Below are 19,273 nucleotides of genomic sequence, written 5' to 3'. Positions count from 1 at the left end.
ATGCTTCCAGTTTTTGCCCATTCAGTATGATATTGGCTGTGGGTTTGTCATAAATAGCGCTCATTATTTTGAGATACATCCCATCAATACCTAATTGATTGAGAGTTTTTAGCATGAAGGGCTGTTGAATTTTCTCAAAGGCCTTTTCTGCATCTGTTGAGATAATCATGTGGTTTTTGTCTTTGGTTCTGTTTATATGCTGGATTACGTTTATTGATTTGTGTATGTTGAACCAGCCTTGCATCCCAGGGATGAAGCCCACTTGATCATGATGGATAAGCTTTTTGATGTGCTGCTGGATTCAGTTTGCCAGTATTTTATTGAGGATGTTTGCATCGATGTTCATCAGGGATATTGGTCAAAAATTCTCTTTTTTGGTTTTGTCTCTGCCAGGCTTTGGTATCAGGATGATGCTGGCCTCATAAAATGAGTTAGGGAGGATTCCCTCTTTTTCTATTGATTGGAATAGTTTCAGAAGGAATGGTACCAGCTCCTCCTTGTACCTCTGGTAGAATTCGGCTGTGAATCCATCTGGTCCTGGACTTTTTTTAGTTGCTAGGCTATTAATTGTTGCTTCAATTTCAGAGCCTGTTATTTGTCTCTTCAGGGATTCAACTTCTTCCTGGTTTAGTCTTGGGAGGGTGTTTGTGTCCAGGAATTTATCCATTTCTTCTAGATTTTCTAGTTTATTTGCATAGAGGTGTTTATAGTAGTCTCTGATGGTAGTTTGTATTTCTGTGGGATCGGTGGTTATATCCCCTTAATCCTTTTTTATTGTGTCTATTTGATTCTTTTGTGTTTTCTTCTTTATTAGTCTTGCTAGCGGTCTATCAATTTTGTTGATCTTTTCAAAAAACCAGCTCCTATAATTTTCAATATATTTTTTCGAAACATAATTTTTTGAAACAAGTAAACATTATTTTAAAAATACTTAATGGGAAAAACATTATTTTATTGCTAACTACTGAATTATAGAAACAAGAAAAACATGGAGGCCTTTCATAAATTCACCCTATTACGAAGACTTTAATTTAAAAATTTCTAACAAAAGCCATATAATCATCTAATGAAGCCACTCCTTATACATAGGTTGTAATCACTATGAAGGTATTCACTGAAATTGGTTCTCTGATGTGAAATTCAGTATAATTTAATTGATAGTTCTATTTTGTTTGTGGTAAGGACAGAAGATATTTTATTTATTTCCCAGTTGTTAATACTTGTTTCAGATTTTCCTGTGATAAACATTTTTCTGTTTTTAGTGTATCTTTTTCTTTACATCCAGAAAGGGCAACTCAATTCTGATTGCTATTTTCCAAATTTTTCTTTATACACAAGCATTATTTTATTCAGCAGTAATGTTACTTTCTAGAGTACAGTTGTGTGATTAGAACAATCTCTAACTCTCTTAGGCCATGTGCGATCTATTTAAAACATACTGTAGGAGAAAATAGGGCAATTAATTATTGTTCTATAGTGTCAATTGTGTATTTGTAAATATAGAGAAAATTCAAATCTCTATGAGAACATTGATTATTAACTGTAGGTCCTTATGTAAGGGAAATAAATTTTTATTGATTTACTTAATAAAATTTGTTCGGCTGCGTGTTGTGGTTCACGCCTATAATCCGAGCACTGTGGGAGGCAGAGGTGGGCACATCACGAGGTCAGGAGATCGAGACCATCCTGGCCAACATAAGGAAACCCCGACTCTACAAAAAAAAAAAAAAATTCAAAAATTATCTGGGCATGGTGGTGCGTGCCTGTAATCCTAGCTACTCGGGAATCTGCGGCAAGAGAATTAGTTGCTTGAACCAGGGAGTCAGAGGTTGCAATAAGCTGAGATCGCGCCACTGTGCTCCAGCCTGGCGACAGAGCAAGACTCTGTCTCAAAGAACAAACAAAGTTGGGAAGTGTAAGAATTATATTTTGCAAATCTCTAACATGATTCAATTTTGTATGGCCTTTCGTGTCATTATGATAAAATTGTAAGCTTAATGTATGTGTTTCTAGTCTCCACAGGATGGTTTTATTTATATATATATATGTATATATATATAAAATCTCTAAAATTATTCAATTGGGCTGCAAAGAGCACATAGTATTTTCTGAAATCACCATTGTGGGTGCATTTTATATAATATAAAGCTTAGTTTTATGGTTATAGGCTAAATTTTAAAAACTTTACATGTAGTAATAAGTCTAAATCAGTAGACCAAAATATTACTTGTAGTATTACTTAAATTATAATTTAAAACTAGAAATCCAAAAATATGTGAAACTAAATACATCAAATCTCTGGATTATTGAATTTGAGATTTTTTTTTAGCTAAATACATTTTCTACATCTTCTAATGATAAAAAGCTACACATGATATATAAAGTTTCTAAAATGTAGCCTACTAACATATAGCTAAGCTTTTAAATTACGTATTTTTAAACGGAACCAGATGTCAAGAATTGTGATGGGTCTGACACTTTGCCATGCAAATTAACCTGCTACAATTTTACTGATGCTAGTGGAAGACTCTATAACCAGAGGTAAAGAATGGTCCATTATCAAAACAATAACAGTATCAAGAATATCAACATTTTTATGCCAATTCTCTGAGCCCCAATTCCCACAAGGTGATATAAACAGAGTCAGTGACACCTGTACACACACTGTGGATTGCATCACAAAAGAGGACTCCTAAGCTTCAGGAACCCAAATATTTTATGAGAATCTGTATATATACCTGAGAGCTAGATATACCTAAGAGCTACAGTTAATTTCAAGCATAGTGCCATTCCTTACCAGTTTTTGAACGAAATCTTTTGAGTTGAGATTGTAAACTGTTAATATATTTTGGTTCTTTTGTCTAACTGCTGATATGCATATTAACATAAATATTTTTCAAATATGTCTTTAAGTTGCTCATAGAATATTTTTAACATTTTAAATAACATTTTGAGGGCATCTATAATATTATAATATTAAAACACAACTTTCATGTTTTTCTTTGTTAGTCTCAACAAATGTGAGATTTCAACTCGTGAAGGCTACAACAAACAATTAGATTCAGAGGCATGAGGGTCAAACTTGTTGGTTCCTAGTTTTCATTCTAATTTAATTGAGTATCAATAAAATATGGTATCTTTGACTAGATTTAAAAACTAAAAATTCAAATGAACTTTTAAATTAGTCTTCACTTTGATCTGGACCAGGATTTTCTTTGATATTGCATAATATTTTCTAAAAGTTCAAAAAAGTTATTTTGGAAGTTGTGTCCTAGTCAAGCTGTGCCAGGTATGTGTTAATTAGCACTTTAATTCTATTGCTCTAAAAATTCAGTCTTAAGCTCGGAAAATACATTTATTTTTCTGTAATAAAACAAATTATGTGGCATCTTGTGTTGCCTACTAGAAAGTAATTTGGTTCATATTATTTGGAAGAATTATATTCTTTTTAGTTTATTGCTTTGAATAATTTTTTACTAAAAATGTTATCTGACTTGCACATACATTGTTTAGATAAAATTTCTATCTAACAAATTATAACATGTAATTTTATTAACAGCATTTAGTTATGAAAAGTTTTTAGTGTTAAGAGTTTTGAACAATGTGTATGGTCCATGGGTGCAAAATTTTTTCATCATTTTAATAAAAATTCAAAGTTATGAAATAAATATTTTTTCATCTTAGCCTACAGGGAGATTTATTTTACTTACCTGACTTAGAGGTATTCAAAATGCTACATGGAGCAATATTAAAGGGTCCTTTTAAGTGCAAATGGAATTGAATCCCATTTTCCCTTAACTTTATGAAAAAAAAAAAGAATAACATTCAATCTTTCTGTTTCTATTCTCTTGCTTGTTATTGAACTGCTTCTTCTTTAGCCAATGACTAGAGCTTTCATGAGTTTGCAGGGAGAATAAGAAGGAAGGGTTATATATGAATTTTATAACAATGTGTTGTGTTTTCTTGCATGAAAAAGATGTGTAGATACTAAGTGACAAAACTGGAATTCAAACTTTATTGTCTCAAAAATATAAAAGAGATGAATATTTGGAAAGGTAACTCATGATGGATGAATAAATATCTTACTTATATCTAGAAACATACACAGATGAACACCTTTCTAATAATACCTACGAACTTACTTTTGAATGTCAACTTGCATACTTGGGAGCTTGACCGACTCATCAAAGATAATAAAATACTTGGTCTATATCTATACTTATGAATTTCTTCAGATATATTGCTAACTTTCTACCCCACGTGTTGTCAATTTTGAGAATTAATTTATCTTTCCTTCATTCATTTTAATAAGGATTAAAAAGGATCTTATTTCAATGGAATAAAGAAACTGGGGAAAAATATAATACAACATTAACTTGGGCCAGAAAGAAAATAGTTTAAAAAAAGGCATTTCAGCTATCCCATCAGTTCAGAAGTTTTCCTGATATAAAATATTTTTTATAATTCCAATATGTGAAGGATGAATGGAAACATTTTGGCAGTGAGTTAAGCCTGGTATGTAAAAGGCTGTTCTTGGGTGCAGCATTCATCTGTTTTGTAAGAGAAAACTGAGTAATGTGACCAGCTAGAAGAAAATGTTTCCCAGCTTTCATTGCTGCTAGGTTTGTTCATATGTCCAACTTCTGCTCACTTATATAAAAGCATAAGCTAGGTAGGACTTCAGGGAAGGTTCCATAAGTGGAAGGAGCTCAAAGCTTTTTTTTTTTTTTTTTTTCCTCTCCTACTTTCTCCTATTGCTTGACTGAAGCACGAGTATAATCGCTGGAGATTTAAGAGTCATTTTTGACACTGAAGTGACTTTGAAGATAAAAGCTAGGCTCTTAAAGATAGAACTGTGGAAAAAGAGAAGTCTGAGTCCCTGAGGACTGTGTATAGCTGCAGATAAACTCCAAACTGCTTTTTACATAACAGAGAATTACCTCCTATCTTGTTTAAGCCACTGGCCCTTAAACTTGACTGCAGAATGAACATTCCTGAAGAGTTTTGAATATCTGAGATGCCAGGGTTCTATCCCTAGAGATTATGATTAAACTTATATAGAATGCATTGGGAATCTTCAAAGCTCCCCAAATAGCTCTAACACGAAGCAGTTTGATAACCACTGGTTTAAAAGTTACTTATTTTTTTTGGGTGAGGGAGTAGTTTTTTACAGCCGAAGACTTCGTTAACTTTTACATCTTATTTTACACAGTTGGATTTAAGTAAAATTTTTGTATTTATTATGGCCTGGTAATCTCAGATGGATCCTCAGATACAAAATGTATCATGTCAAATATGTTAAAGCTGAGCTGGTTTCTGTCTACTACAGTTAGGAAACTGTATAACTTTAGTATTCACTACTTAAAAATACAACCAAAGATAAATTTGTTTAAAAATTTATGGATATTCTATTAACGTGTCTGGCACAATATTTCCAGGGTGACAGTGAGTAGCAAATAAAATTGAAATATTTTTGCTCTATTATGTTGTAGGGAAGATTATTTCTCATAATAAGGAGTTTAAATTTACTGATTTGATTATTTTAATTAAATTTAATAAGAAATTTAAACAGAATTTAAAGTGTTTAAAAATATTAACATTTGTATAAATTTAAGGGGTGCAAGTACAGTTTTGTTATGTGAGTATTGCATAGTGATGAAGTCTGAGCTTCTAGTGTAACCATGACCTGAATAACGTTACATTGAACCCATTAAGTAATTTCTCGTTCCTCACACCTCTAGCACCCTTCCACCCTTACAAGTCTCCAGTGTCTATTATTCCACACTCTATGTCCGTGTGTATACCTTATTTAGTTCCCACTTCTAAGTGAAAATATGCAATATTTGACTTCCTGTGTCTCAGTTGTTTCACTTAAGATAAAAGCCTCAAGGTCCATCCAGGTTGCTGCAAAATATGTGATTTCATTCATTTTTATGGCTGAGTAGTATTCTATTGTATATACATTTTATATTTTCTTTCTGTGATTATCTATTGTTGGACACTTAGGTTGAGTCCACGTCTTTGCTATTGTGAATAGTGTTGCGATAAACATGTGAGTGCAGGTTATCTTTTGCACATAATTTTTTTCAGGGGGTAGATACCCAGTAGTGTCATAGCTGGATTGAATGGCAATTCTATTTTTTAATTCTTTGAGAAATCTTCATACTGTTTTCCACAAGGGACTAATATCCAGAATTAATGAGGAACTCAAACAACTCAGCAACAGCAAGGAACAAATAACCATTAAAAAGTGGGCAAAGAAAATGAACAGACATTTTTTAAAAGAAGACATGCAAACTACCAACAAGCATATGAAAAAATGCTCACCACCGCTAATTATCAGAGAAATGCAGATTAAAACTACTGTCTTATACCTTTCAGAATTGCTGTCATTAAAAATTCACAAAATAATGGACGTTGTCAAGGATAAGGACAAAAGGGAGCACTTACACACTGTTGGTGGGAAGGCAAATTAGTATTTTTGAAATCCTTAAGACTATAAGAGGCTAGATTGCATTACCTGGATAATATAGAGCCAAATTTAAAGTAGATTTTATAAAATTGAGACATTTTAGAATCCTGAGAACCCCAGAAAGAGGGATGCATCCAATCACTCACTAGTATTTTTTTATGGGCTTTTATCAGGTATTCAAGAGAAAGACTGGTGAAAAGGTAGGAGACATGGAAAAGCCCTTCTTAGAGGCACAGGTAAGCAAGACTTGTCAATGTTTGAGGTTTGACAAGAGTACTTGGAGAAGTCCATTCATGCTATGGGCCCTGTATGAATACAAGGTGGTGATAGGCTACCATTGAGGGACATGCACACACACACACACACACACACACACACACACACAAAGCTGAGGAAATTGTCTGCACACCTAAACTATAAGAAATATACAAGGAAGCTTTAAAAAAATTACACAAGATAAAAATCTAAATTTACTTAAAACATTAAGAATTCTGGAAATGATAAACTGGGTAAAAATAATATATGATTTTGTTTTTAGTTTTTTTCTCTGTAAAAGATAATTGTGCTGTGCCTGGTGGCTCACACCTATAATCCCAGTACTTTGGGAGGCCAACACGGGTGGATCACCTGAGGTCAGGAGTTCCAGACCAGCCTGGCCAGCATGGTGAAACCATGTCTCTACTAAAAATACAAAAATTAGCTAGGTATGGTGGCACATGCCTATAATCCCAGCTACTTGGGAGGCTGAGGCAGGAGAATCACTTGATCCCAGGAGGCAGAGGTTGCAGTGAGCAGAGATCATGCCACTGCACTCCAGCCTGGGGAACAGAGCAAGACTCTGTCTCAAAAAAAAAAAAAAAAAGGAATCTGTAGTTAAAAGCAAAAGTAATCATAAATTTGGGGATCTATAACATATTTTGATGTAAAATATAATAGGACAAGAATAAGAGAGGGAAATGAAAGTGAACTGTGGTAAGTTTTTCACATATGTGAAAAGTTATATGAAGGTTAATTATGATAGGTTAAAGGTGTATGATGGTTAATATTGTTAATCTGTGTATAAAATTCTGGAAAATTAAATATTCTTGTAATGTGATTCATTTCTTGTCTCTGGATAGTTGAGTACCTTAATTCTTGTAAGTATAACCAACCCAAATGTCCAACAGTGATAGACTGGATTAAGAAAATGTGGCACATATACACCATGGAATACTATGCAGCCATAAAAAATGATGAGTTCATGTCCTTTGTAGGGACATGGATGAAATTGGAAATCATCATTCTCAGTAAACTATCGCAAGAACACAAAACCAAACACCGCATATTCTCACTCATAGGTGGGAATTGAACAATGAGATCACATGGACACAGGAAGGGGAATATCACACTCTGGGGACTGTTGTGGGGTGGGGGGAGGGGGGAGGGATAGCATTGGGAGATATACCTAATGCTAGATGACGAGTTAGTGGGTGTAGTGCACCAGCATGGCACATGTATACATATGTAACTAACCTGCACAATGTGCACGTGTACCCTAAAACTTAAAGTATAATTAAAAAAAAAAATTCTTTGGTTTTAAAAATTCGTAATGTTGTGAACTGAAATAAGTGATGTATACCCTCTTGATTTATTTTCAATTCCTGTTTCATTATTCAAGCTTTATAATACATTTTCAAATGTCTTAAAGTGGTACCAACTATCAAGTTTTAATTTTGATGGGTTTCTTTACTATTCTTGAATTTTTTCCCAATTGAATTTATTGTCAGTTTGTCATTTACTAATCTTTTATTTTATTTGGTATCCCAACAAATTGAGGAGTCAGTTTAGGAAATATTGAAAACTTTATGAACTTTTGTATCCAGGATCATGATGCATGTTTCCATTTATTAACATATTTTATTTTGTCACTCATTAGTGTTTTATTATACTCTTTCCATACTTTCGACTTACTGCTTATTACCATGTATGCAATATTTTTGTTTTTCCATAAATATGGAACTAAATTCCAATAATAACTGATTGTTGTTTGTGCACTAGAAACTGTTCATTCTTACACATCAATTTTATAAAATGAAAATACTAGATTTTATGTTTATTTGTAACATTAAACCTGGGATTTCTACATATATAATCATATTATCTAAAATATAATGGCAATGTTTTGCTTCCTTTCCAATGCCTTTTTACTGCTTTTGACTTTCTTGTCTTGTTCCAGACTTTAAAAGGAAGACTTCTGAGGTTCCAACTTAATCATTGTGTTTGATTTTGTTTTGACTTGCATTATTTTTTAGAGACAGGGTCTTGCTCTGTCACCCAGGTTGGAGTGCAGTGGTGCAATCATAGCTCATTGTAATTTCGAGCTCCTGGGCTCTAACGATCTTCCTGCCTCAGTCTACCTTGTAGCTAGGACTACCTTTGAACAGCATCATCCTTGCTAATTTCTTTCTTTCTTGCTTGCTTCCTTTCCTTTCCTTTCCCTTTCTTTTTTTTCTTTCTTTCTTTCTTTCTTTCTTTCTTTCTTTCTTTCTTTCTTTCTTTCTTTCTTTCTTTTTCTTTCTTTCTTTTCTTTCTTTCTTCTTTTCTTTTCTTTTGTTTTCTTTTCTTTCCTTTCTTTTTTATAAAGACAAGGTTTTGCCATGTTGCCCAGGCTGGTCTTGAACTTCTGGGTTAAAGTGATCTTCCCACTTCCACCTTCCAAAGTACTGGGATTGCAGGTGTGAGCCACTCTGCATGACCATGACAAGAATTTTTATTGGGCATGATGATACTTTTTGTCAACAGCTATGATTTGATCATGTTATTTTAATTATTCATAAATAAATAATTATTTCCCAATATTAAACATTCCTTGCATTCCTGAAACAACCCTACTTTGTCATACAGTATTGTCCTTATAATGTATAATTCTGTTATAACATAATATAATTCTGTTATGTATATAATATATAATTCTGTAATGTCTTATTGAATATCTTTGCATTAATAGGCATACTAAATTCAAATGCAAAATAACTATCTTCATAAATTTTTAGAAGGATTATTTCCCATTGACTTTTGCATTATTTGTTCTTTGCCTCAAATTTGCCCTATGTCTGATATTAGATATAACATATAATATTTTAATAAACATTTATTTAGCTGGCCTTTCTTTACTTCCTTCTGTCTTCCCTTTCTTCCCTCTTCCCTCCTTCCCTCCCTTCTTCCCTTTTTTCTTTCTTTTCTCCCTTCTCCTTTTTTTGTGTGTGCTGTCTTTGAGTTTGCAAAGTGATTAATTTCCTTTTTTAAGCTTATCTTTGAATTTTAAAATTTTATTTTAAATTTTATGTAAAAGATAAATTTTACTTAAAAAGATATATATACATAGTTTAAGAAGTCAAAACCTCAACGAGTCATGTTCCATAAACAAGATTACCATGCTTTACTTTTCCATTTCCCAATTCCTACATTTTAGATTCAAGTGCTTTCATTTATTTGTACATTTATTCTGGCATTTACATCCATATTTATAAATAATTTGTTTATGTTACTATTTCTTGCTTTATTCAGAACTATAGTAAATTCAGTCATTTATTTGACTTTCTAGTAAGAGAATCTCAAGTTTTGGTTTACAGTAACCATTATCTTTACAGGATTGTGCTAGGCACTTAGATGTCAACACAGAGTATGTGGTAATTTTATTACAGAGTGTTGTGCTGTGAACAGTATGGGAAAGTCAATACACATAGTGGAGACACCTTCTCTCTCCACTTGCCTCCTCATGGTTTGGCTCCTTCCTGAAGTTGGCTTAATAACTACATCACCCAGGTAGAATACCGGAAGATGCCACTCTTTTTTCTTGGAATGATTCTTCCTTTAAAAGTATTTAATGGACACTTAATCTCTTTTTTTCTCACCAGATATATCATTGTAATTATATATATATATATAAATATATATAAAATATATTTTTAAATATGTAAATAAAATATATAAATATATAAATAACAAATATATATAAGTAATATATAAATAAATATATAAATATATTTATACTATATAAAAATATATAAATAAATATATTAATAAATTTTATATACACACACACACACACACACACACACACACACATATGGTGTTTGTGGCAGAGCTGAGAGCAGTGGGGAGTACATGTCATTACTCCCAATTGGGATAAGTCAGTCATGATCAAATGGCACTATTTCCAAATAGCATCGAGGAAGTTTTTCCTAGAAAAGTTTGGAGGTTGACCCTTGGCTTACTAGTGTAAAACGTATTACCAGATATATATATATATATATATATAAAGTTGCCGGTTTATATATATACACACACACACACCAGTTACACACACACACACACATAAAGTTTGAGTCCCTTCATTGTCCTTGTTTCTCTGCTTTCCTTTTTGCTTTTTTGGTTTGATTTCTGCTCTCTTTGTTAACATCGTTCTCTAATGGGAGGTGCTACTTGATTATCTATTCATGTTTAACAATTAGGAAATACTGCTTGGAAGGAAATCGAAGACTTTTTAACTGATAGGCTAATTTATTTGGGAATATGACTGCTGGTATTACTGTCTTTTCCCTTTGGTTGGTTCATTTCTCCAAACAGAAGTTGTTAAATCTTTTGCCTGGGGTTATTGAGTCAAACTGGAGAGGAAGCTTGAGGAAGAGGTAAGTGGAGAAGGAAGGTCTCTGCATTGTGTGTTGACTTTCATTTATTTACAGCATAACACTATCGCATGTAGTAATTCCTGCTTTCCTTCGGTCAAATGTTATTCTGCCTTTACATATCCAAATAATGAGTCTTGTGTTTCTGTCAGAGTTTGTAGGTGTAGTCACATTACAACTGGCTTTTAAAGGAGATCTGAGCCTAATAACTTTTTATATTGATTTTAAGGTCTGCCTCTTTTCTGCTTCATCTACAAAACAGCCTTCAGAAGTGTTGGTTGGTTCTCATACCTGAGCATTTCCCATAACAACATGAATCAATATTTTTCCTTGGATGACTCTTGTAAACTGAAGAATGTTTTATGTGGTTTATAATGTCTCCACTTATCCATTTGCTTTCCAACTACCAGTATTATCATATTTCATTAGCAATTGTGTCCTTTGCCATTCTATTTTCTTGTTTGTGGAGTTTTTATATCCCTTTATTCATATTTCCGTGAGGTTTTGATAGCAAGTTTATTTTTAATCAAATATATTTAGCCAGAATCTTTCCAGATGTGTTTCCTTTTTTTTTTTTCACTTTTTGGGGATTGTTTTATTATAAGTGAGTTTCATGCAAGTATGTTGAATGTATGTGCAAATGGGTGCATGACAAGGTGGGGAATCTTAAAGAATCTGCCTAGAAATATAAGGTTTAATTCATTCTCATTATTTTTTATGATTATGCTTTTGGGATTATTTCTGTAAACTTATTTTCTCTTCCCTATTTATCATTCTTTTTTTTTAGTATTTCATTCTATTAGACTATTTGAGATATTTTATTTCTTTTTTCCTTTACTTACAATTATTCCTTTTTTCTTTTACTCTTGTTTCTCTTATCTATACCTTTCCTTTTATTTCCTGTAAGGTAATTTTCCCTTACCTTTATTTCTTGTTTACCCTTACACTTAAAATTTAAACAGAATATTTTAACTTTTAAGTTTTTTAACTTTTTTACACTTATGCTTAAAATTTAAAAGGAATATTTTAACTTTTAATTTTCTAATATTTTTTAGATTAACTTTTTATTTATATCCTGCCAATGAAATACACATCCCCTACCTCTTCATTTGAAATCATATCAGATTTTTATTCTAAATGTTTGTATATTTTTATGTTATACATAAATAATTATGTTGACTCAAACTTACTTTTAATATATAATCTCTATTTCTAAGTCCTTGATTTATCTTTCTTCCTTTTGGTTAAACTATAGATTCTATACTGAAGTTGGTAACATTTCTGAGGATTCGCTTTTCCAAATTGCTAGTTTTTTTTTTTTTTCTTATATTTGGATGCCAGTAGGGAGAGGCTGTAAGTAAATAAGTGTACTGACTTGCTCACCAATCCAGGGTTCCATATCTTTTTCCAGATATCTCACTTCAGAAAAATTAAGCCCTAAACTGAGTTTGTCAGCAAATCATGAATCACAATATCCTCGGGTCCTAATACACCTTTTCTTTTCCGCCTTCCTCTATCTTTTCCTTCCCTCTTCCTTTTTTCCTTCCTTTTTCACAATTAATTTTCCCATGCTAGTTTTGTAGAGGTACAATTACTCCAGGCTCTAATCAGATTCCTTCCCTAGCCTCAACTGAGCCTTAGAATCTTTTCCAGAAAGATCTTTCCATTTGTTTCAGAAAAATATCTCTCAACTGTCGGACACTAATAATAACTAGAAGCAATAATTAGCATACAAATTACAGGGAAGAAACTTCAGGGAAGGGGCTTGGAAATCTGAATTCTTTTTTAACAGATACGTGAAGATTCTTATTAGATAACTGTTTTCAAGATTTTAACCTGAGAGTAAAAAAACACTGTTTCCAGTGCATATGTACAAGCATATGTGCTGTCACAAGGATCTAACTGAATAAGTTATTCTTAGTCATTTGTGATTACTGGCACCGAAAATTATCCCAAAGTCCCTTTATGCTTTAGATAGTTGTTGATAATTAGCTTGGAGTTTGAGTCTTAGAGCAGTCTTTTAAAAGAACTGCTTTTGATTTTGAAGAACTGATTTTGGTTTTCTGTTATTTTTTTCTGCTTCAAATGCTTCAACGGAGGCCAGTGCAACATTTTATGGAATGAGTGCTTAGGGTTGAAGAGAACCAAAGCCAAAGGTGTCTGTGGCAGAGCTGAAAACAGTGGGGAGTACATTTCATTAAAATGAAACTGCCAATTGGGATAACTCAGCCATGATCAAATGGCACTATTTCCAAATAACATAGAGGAAGTTTATCCTAGAAAAGTTTGGAGGTTGACCCTTGGCTTACTAGTGCAAAATGTATTACCAGTTTATTTCCTAAATGACCAGGTACCATATTACAACATTTACTCTAGGAATAAAGAAGGAAATTAATGGAGAGAATGATATTATATGAAACAACTATTATACCTCCTCCTTATCTGCGTACATTAAATCTGCATTAACAGTCTGAGATTGATTAGTAAAGACAAATTTAATTGCTTCTAAGTGAATAGTTGCGGTAGTTTAATTACCTCTGAGTAGAGGAACAGCTAAAACTAACAACATCTAATAGTATAAAATTAAACAATAGCACTCTTTTTTTTTGACTTTACAAATTAGGATTGAACATATCATCCTAACCCTGAATATTTCTTTAGGATGTATGCTTGCATGTTAAGTTTTTGTTTGCAGGCAAAATAGAGATAAGATAGACTGTATTACTCTCATGAAATATGTAGTATAAACCATGATCCAATCTTTGTAAAAGTAAATCATTTGTGAAAACATTATTATTATCGGTCAACCTATGGACAACCTATAAACAATGAGCAGCTATTTTAAAATAATTTTAAAATATTTGTGTAAAACCTAAGTGGGTAGTTAAGTCTAACTTTACTTGTCTATACAGTGACTTGACTGGCTTTCATGTCAAATTTATTTTAAAATTCAGATTGAAACTTCCAGGAAATAGGCAACAGCTCTAAGCTCTAGGCCTGAAACACATTTAACCTTGTATTTGGCTGGCCAGTGTTGTTATATAGCTTCACATTGCTGTAGCTTTTAGCTGATTAAATATCCGTGTGTCTGGGTTTGCTCTGTCTTCACCAAGTGTTCTTTGTTTGTCCTGACTCTGTTCTGGAGGTTAAGTAAACTCATGTTCTCCAGCCTTTTCTTTTCTTTCTGTTGTCACCCTCCAGACCTTTTATATTTTTCTTGGTTGATTTAAGATTCTTTTATTACTAGTAAAATGCATAGAAAAAATTCTTCTCACCTTGAAGCACTATTCTTGAAACCTGAACATAATGGTATATTTCTGATTCTTTGTTCATACTTCTTCTTGGTAAGGAAGACGTAGCACAAATATGCTGCATAATAGAAAGGTCATACTCTTCCTGCATCACTGTCATCTGGCTTGGTCCAAAAACTTTTTTACCCCCAAAATACTTATACTATATGTAACAAATCTATTCTTGTTACTATAATTGCCTAATATAAGGGCAACAATTTTTCTTGAACCTTTAAAAATATTAGAATTCTAACAAATACCCTTAAAAATTATTGAACAAACTATGCCTTTCTACAAACATATGTTTTCCTCACACTGTAACTAATAACAACCTTTGAAATTTCTTTATGATTCAATCAAAATGTGCTATGAGTAGTTAAGAAGACTCTTAAGGCCTAAAATATTCTTAATGACTCTACCAGGTTATTTTAGTTTAGTATACAGACATTGGAGGGAGTACTCTTAAATTAATTTGTAAACATAAATATCAGATTTTAAGGTTCATCTTAGGTCTTATTAGCTGTCTGTCTGTGTAAAGCAATTGCAAAACAGGCTATTTAGCTACCAGAGCAGTTGTAATTAAAGTTAATATACATACATTTCTACAACATTGCAATTATCTATAACAAAACATTTGCGTTTTCAAAATGCAAGTGCAAATAAAACCCAAATTCACACTACAAATTCTAATTAGTTATCAGACAGTGATATAGAGTGAGCAAGTTCAAACCAAAGAATCTTAAAATATTAGCAAAATTTATTGTCTTCTTATTTTGACCCTGTCCTAGAGGTTCCACTATGCCTTTGTGTGTCTCTTCTCCTCTTGTCTTTCAGTTAATTCGATGTTCAGTTGTGATATTTTCATGAGCTTATGCTTATTACTTAAATGACTTACAATGTTTCCACAGAAAATTTTGGAAATGGCTCACATACTCTAATACTTTGTGGAATAGTTTGTGGAAAGCCTCTGCACTGGAACTTGTTTTAATTTATGATTGTGTGGAGGGTAAAACTGAGTATAAAGATTTAAAAAATTGTTAAATAATATGAGTATATACTGACAATGTCTGCTGTGGATGATATGTGCCACAAACAATAGCTATGAATGGGACTTCTAGCCCTCATCCATCTCATATCGTTCTGGGCATATAGGAGGATTTTGTTTCTATTAGTGACTGCAATCCAGCAGTTAGTTGGAGCCATGATCTGTGATAGAAAGTGAAATTGTCACTTTCTGGTTGAGGCATTTAATTAAGTCTCTCTTAAGAGAGACTCTTTAGTACTCTCTTCCCTGGCCACAGTGAAAATGAAGACCACAAATACCCCGTGGTGTAGCTCCAAGATGGTAGTGTCTACCTTAGACCCTGAGTGACTGTGAATTAGTCTCCACACCTGTCACTCACCAACCACATTTTGCACATATAAAAAGAAATAAGTTTTGTTTGAAGCTGATGAGATTTAGAAGTTGTCAGTTATTGTAGCATCACCTAGTCTTAACTGTTCAATGTATGTATTAGTCTGTTCTCATGCTGCTAATAAAGACATACCAGAGATGGGGTAATTCATAAAAAAAGAAAAAGAGGTTTAATGGATTTACAGTTCCACATGGCTGGGGAGGCCTCACCATCATGGCAGACCGGGAAGGAGGAGCAAAGCCATGTCTTACATGGCAGCAGGCAAGAGAGCATGTGCAGGGGAACCACCCTTTGTAAAACCATCAGATCTCTTGAGACTTATTCACTATCACAAGAAGAACACCAAAAAGACCTGCCCTATGATTCAATTACCTCCCAGCAGGTTACTCCCACGACACCTGGGGATTTGGGGAACTACAAGTAAAGATGAGATTTAGGTGGGGACACAGCCAAACATTATCAATGTATTATCTTATATTTAATTGCTTTAGCTTAAACAGCACAAATCTGTGAGATATCATTCACCTTTTCCAGATGAAGAGACAAACTTCAGAAGTTAAAAGGACAAATTTAAGGAAAATAGCTGGAGCAAATTCCAAGCCTGGTATTCTTTCTACTATTTCAACTGCATTGTAAAGACAATCATAAAATATAGTTGCATTGTGTTTCATATTAGGACTGTATTGGATTGCTGGATTACACAGGGTTACACAGAGAGCAATTTAGGAAAGGCAGGGAGCAGAACCACAGTGATTTCTTAGTATTCAATTTTAGTTTAGCTAAAGAGAAAACATCTGCTGTCTTCTTCGCTGTTATAGCTGTTGGAGGTGCTCTTCTTAGGTTGATGCTGAGCCTGAGGAGAGAAAACCAGTTGAATGTGTTTAGAAGGATTTGTTTTCTCTCAGGTTGGAAGGTTACCTTAGCACAGCCTTCATCGTAGAAATGCAAGCAGAAGGGTAAAAGACTTTAGTACTGCCTGTTGCTTCATGTTGCTCCTTTTGGGGACAATACATTTTTAAGATGCCCTTTCGGCACAAAATTTGTGGTCAGACCCTGTTCTGGTATTTGGTTTAGATAAAGGATCATTGTAAGCATAGTTCAAATGAGAGGTTAATTTCACATACCGGACATTGTGTATTGGGGAGAATAAGAAAGAGAAAGTATTAGAGGAGAAAGATTATCCTGAGTACTTGAGAACAATCGTTACCTGTGTAGGATCTGAAATCAGAACACTTACGATCTGGGTGACTTTGGAATGGTTACATAATCTCTTTAATTCAGATGCTTTATCCTTTAAAAGAGAGAATAATACAGTTTGGTGAGTTTTAATGAGGCCGTATATATAAAGCACTTATCTGAGTGTCTGGGACATAGAAAGCAATCAAATAATGTTAGGATTTGAAGGTTTTCCAAGTTTTCAATCAGTTGAGATACCAGACTTCTACGTTAATTAGAATACTGGTATGTGAATTGCAGAATTCAACTTAGACAAGAGGCCACCATTGGTACTGATATGTTTAACTGAACCAAGTCATTGTATTAGCTTTTTTAGGTGATATTGTGGTAACAAGCTATCTCAAATATCTGTAGGCTTACAAAAACAAAGGTTTAGTTCTTGTTTACATTGTACATTGGCTGTAGGTCATATTAGGCTCTGCACTATGTCTTTATTCCAGGATCCAGAATGAAGGCATAGATGCTATCCAGGATATTATTAGGCTGGTGGTACAGAAAAATAAAGGAGTGGTTGATTTGTGAAATAACTTTTCTTAGAAGTAGCATCTGTCACTTCCACAGATATTTCATTGGCTAAAACAATGACAAGCCTGATATCAGTTTGACAGAGATATATAATCTACCTTTTAGAAAGAAGCTGTGGATGTTTTTACAGTAATACAGTTGACAAGAGTTCACACTTTAGGTGTAAATATTTATTTGCTTTTCTTTCATAAGAAAAGCACATTCACCCTCTCCCCAAGTGCAATGTCGATCATGGAGTTGGGTTCAAGGTCTGTGAGTGATTACCTTTGCATCAGCTCTGGATGTGGCTTTGCTTATTTGGGGAGTTATTAACTATAAAATAAATGTATTTTTCCCCTAAGATCTATTTATATAATGGAATAAGGGAAGGGTAACATACACACACACACACACACACACACACACACACACACACACACATATATATCATGGGGGAATATGGTCAGAAAATTTATGAAGTTAGCTCTTTTAAGAATGCATATTAAATTTGAACCATCCTAAAGTGACTCATGCAGAGCAAAAACAGATAAAATCCTGGTTTAAGTTATATTCTATGTAGAATTATCCAAATCAATGGTGACAAGGTTGGTAAGATTTGTGTCTTATTGTCTTCATATCTTACCATGGAACACACTCAAACATTGCTATTCAGAAAAGGAGAATATACCGTTGCATTAGTCTACTTTCACACTGCTATAAAGAACAACCTGAGGCTGGGTAATTTATAAAGAAAAGAGATTTAATTGACTCACAGTTCCACAAGGCTGGGGAGGCCTCAGGAAACTTACCGTCATGGCAGAAGCTGAAGGGGAAGCAAGGCATGTATTACGTGGTGGCAGAAGAGAGAGAGTGAAGGGGGAAGTGCCACGTGTTTGAACCATCAGATCTCATGAGAACTCAGCTACTATCATGAGAACAGCATGGGGGAAACTGCCCCCATGATCCAAACATCTCCCACCAGATCCCTCCTCTGACACACGGGGATCACAATTTGAGATGAAATTTTGGTGGGGACACAGAACCAAACCATATCAACCAAGTTCAGCAATCACTGTTCCATAGTAATTCTGAAGTCCTTTTGCATCAATATCCTGAGCGCCCTTCTATACCAGACATGTGGAACACACTTTGATTAGGTGCCTGCTCCTCGCTTGCTTCTTTTTCAACCTGATTCATGGCCTTTTTTTTTTTTTTTTTTTTTTAGCAGTACAACCCTCTCAAAAACATGGTCAGCTACTTTTTGTTTTGCTTTGTTGTGATATACAAAGAACCTCACATTTGCTGTGAACAATTTGATGCATTTGAACATACGCAAACACCTGTGATACCATCACCATAATCAGAGTAACAGACACATTCAATACTTCTCAAAGTTTCCTTGTACTCCTATGCTGTGTTTGTGTGTGTCTATTAAAAGCACTTAATATGAGATCTACCTTCATAATAAAATTTGAAGTGCACAATACTATATTGTTAACTATAGGTACTATGTTGTATAGCAGATATCTAGAACTTATTAATCTATCAAAAGTGAAACTTTATACCCATTTTAGAGCAACTTTCCATCTTCCCATGGGTTTTCAGCCCCTGATAACCATTACTATCTTGTCTGCTTCTATACATTTGACTATTTTAGATACTGTAAGTGGAGTCATGCAGTATTTGTCT

At 33.6% G+C, this 19,273-nt stretch overlaps 1 long non-coding RNA gene across 1 annotated transcript in view, besides 1 other annotated feature; it reads left to right on the top strand.

Annotated features, from left to right (window-relative positions):
- Window positions 1-19,273, top strand: part of LINC02307 (long intergenic non-protein coding RNA 2307) — a 395,530-nt gene that overhangs the window by 176,848 nt on the left and 199,409 nt on the right. The window lies entirely within an intron of this gene.
- Window positions 4,731-4,931: a silencer, noted in NCBI's record as "peak2140 fragment used in MPRA reporter construct". NCBI's record gives its function as "represses an SCP1 promoter by STARR-seq MPRAs in K562 erythroleukemia cells {active_cell/tissue: K562}" and the evidence as "EXISTENCE:reporter gene assay evidence [ECO:0000049][PMID:32103011]".

Source organism: Homo sapiens, chromosome 14 (assembly GCF_000001405.40).
Source record: "Homo sapiens chromosome 14, GRCh38.p14 Primary Assembly".
Lineage (NCBI taxonomy): Eukaryota > Metazoa > Chordata > Mammalia > Primates > Hominidae > Homo > Homo sapiens.
This window is presented reverse-complemented; position numbering and strand designations above follow the sequence as displayed.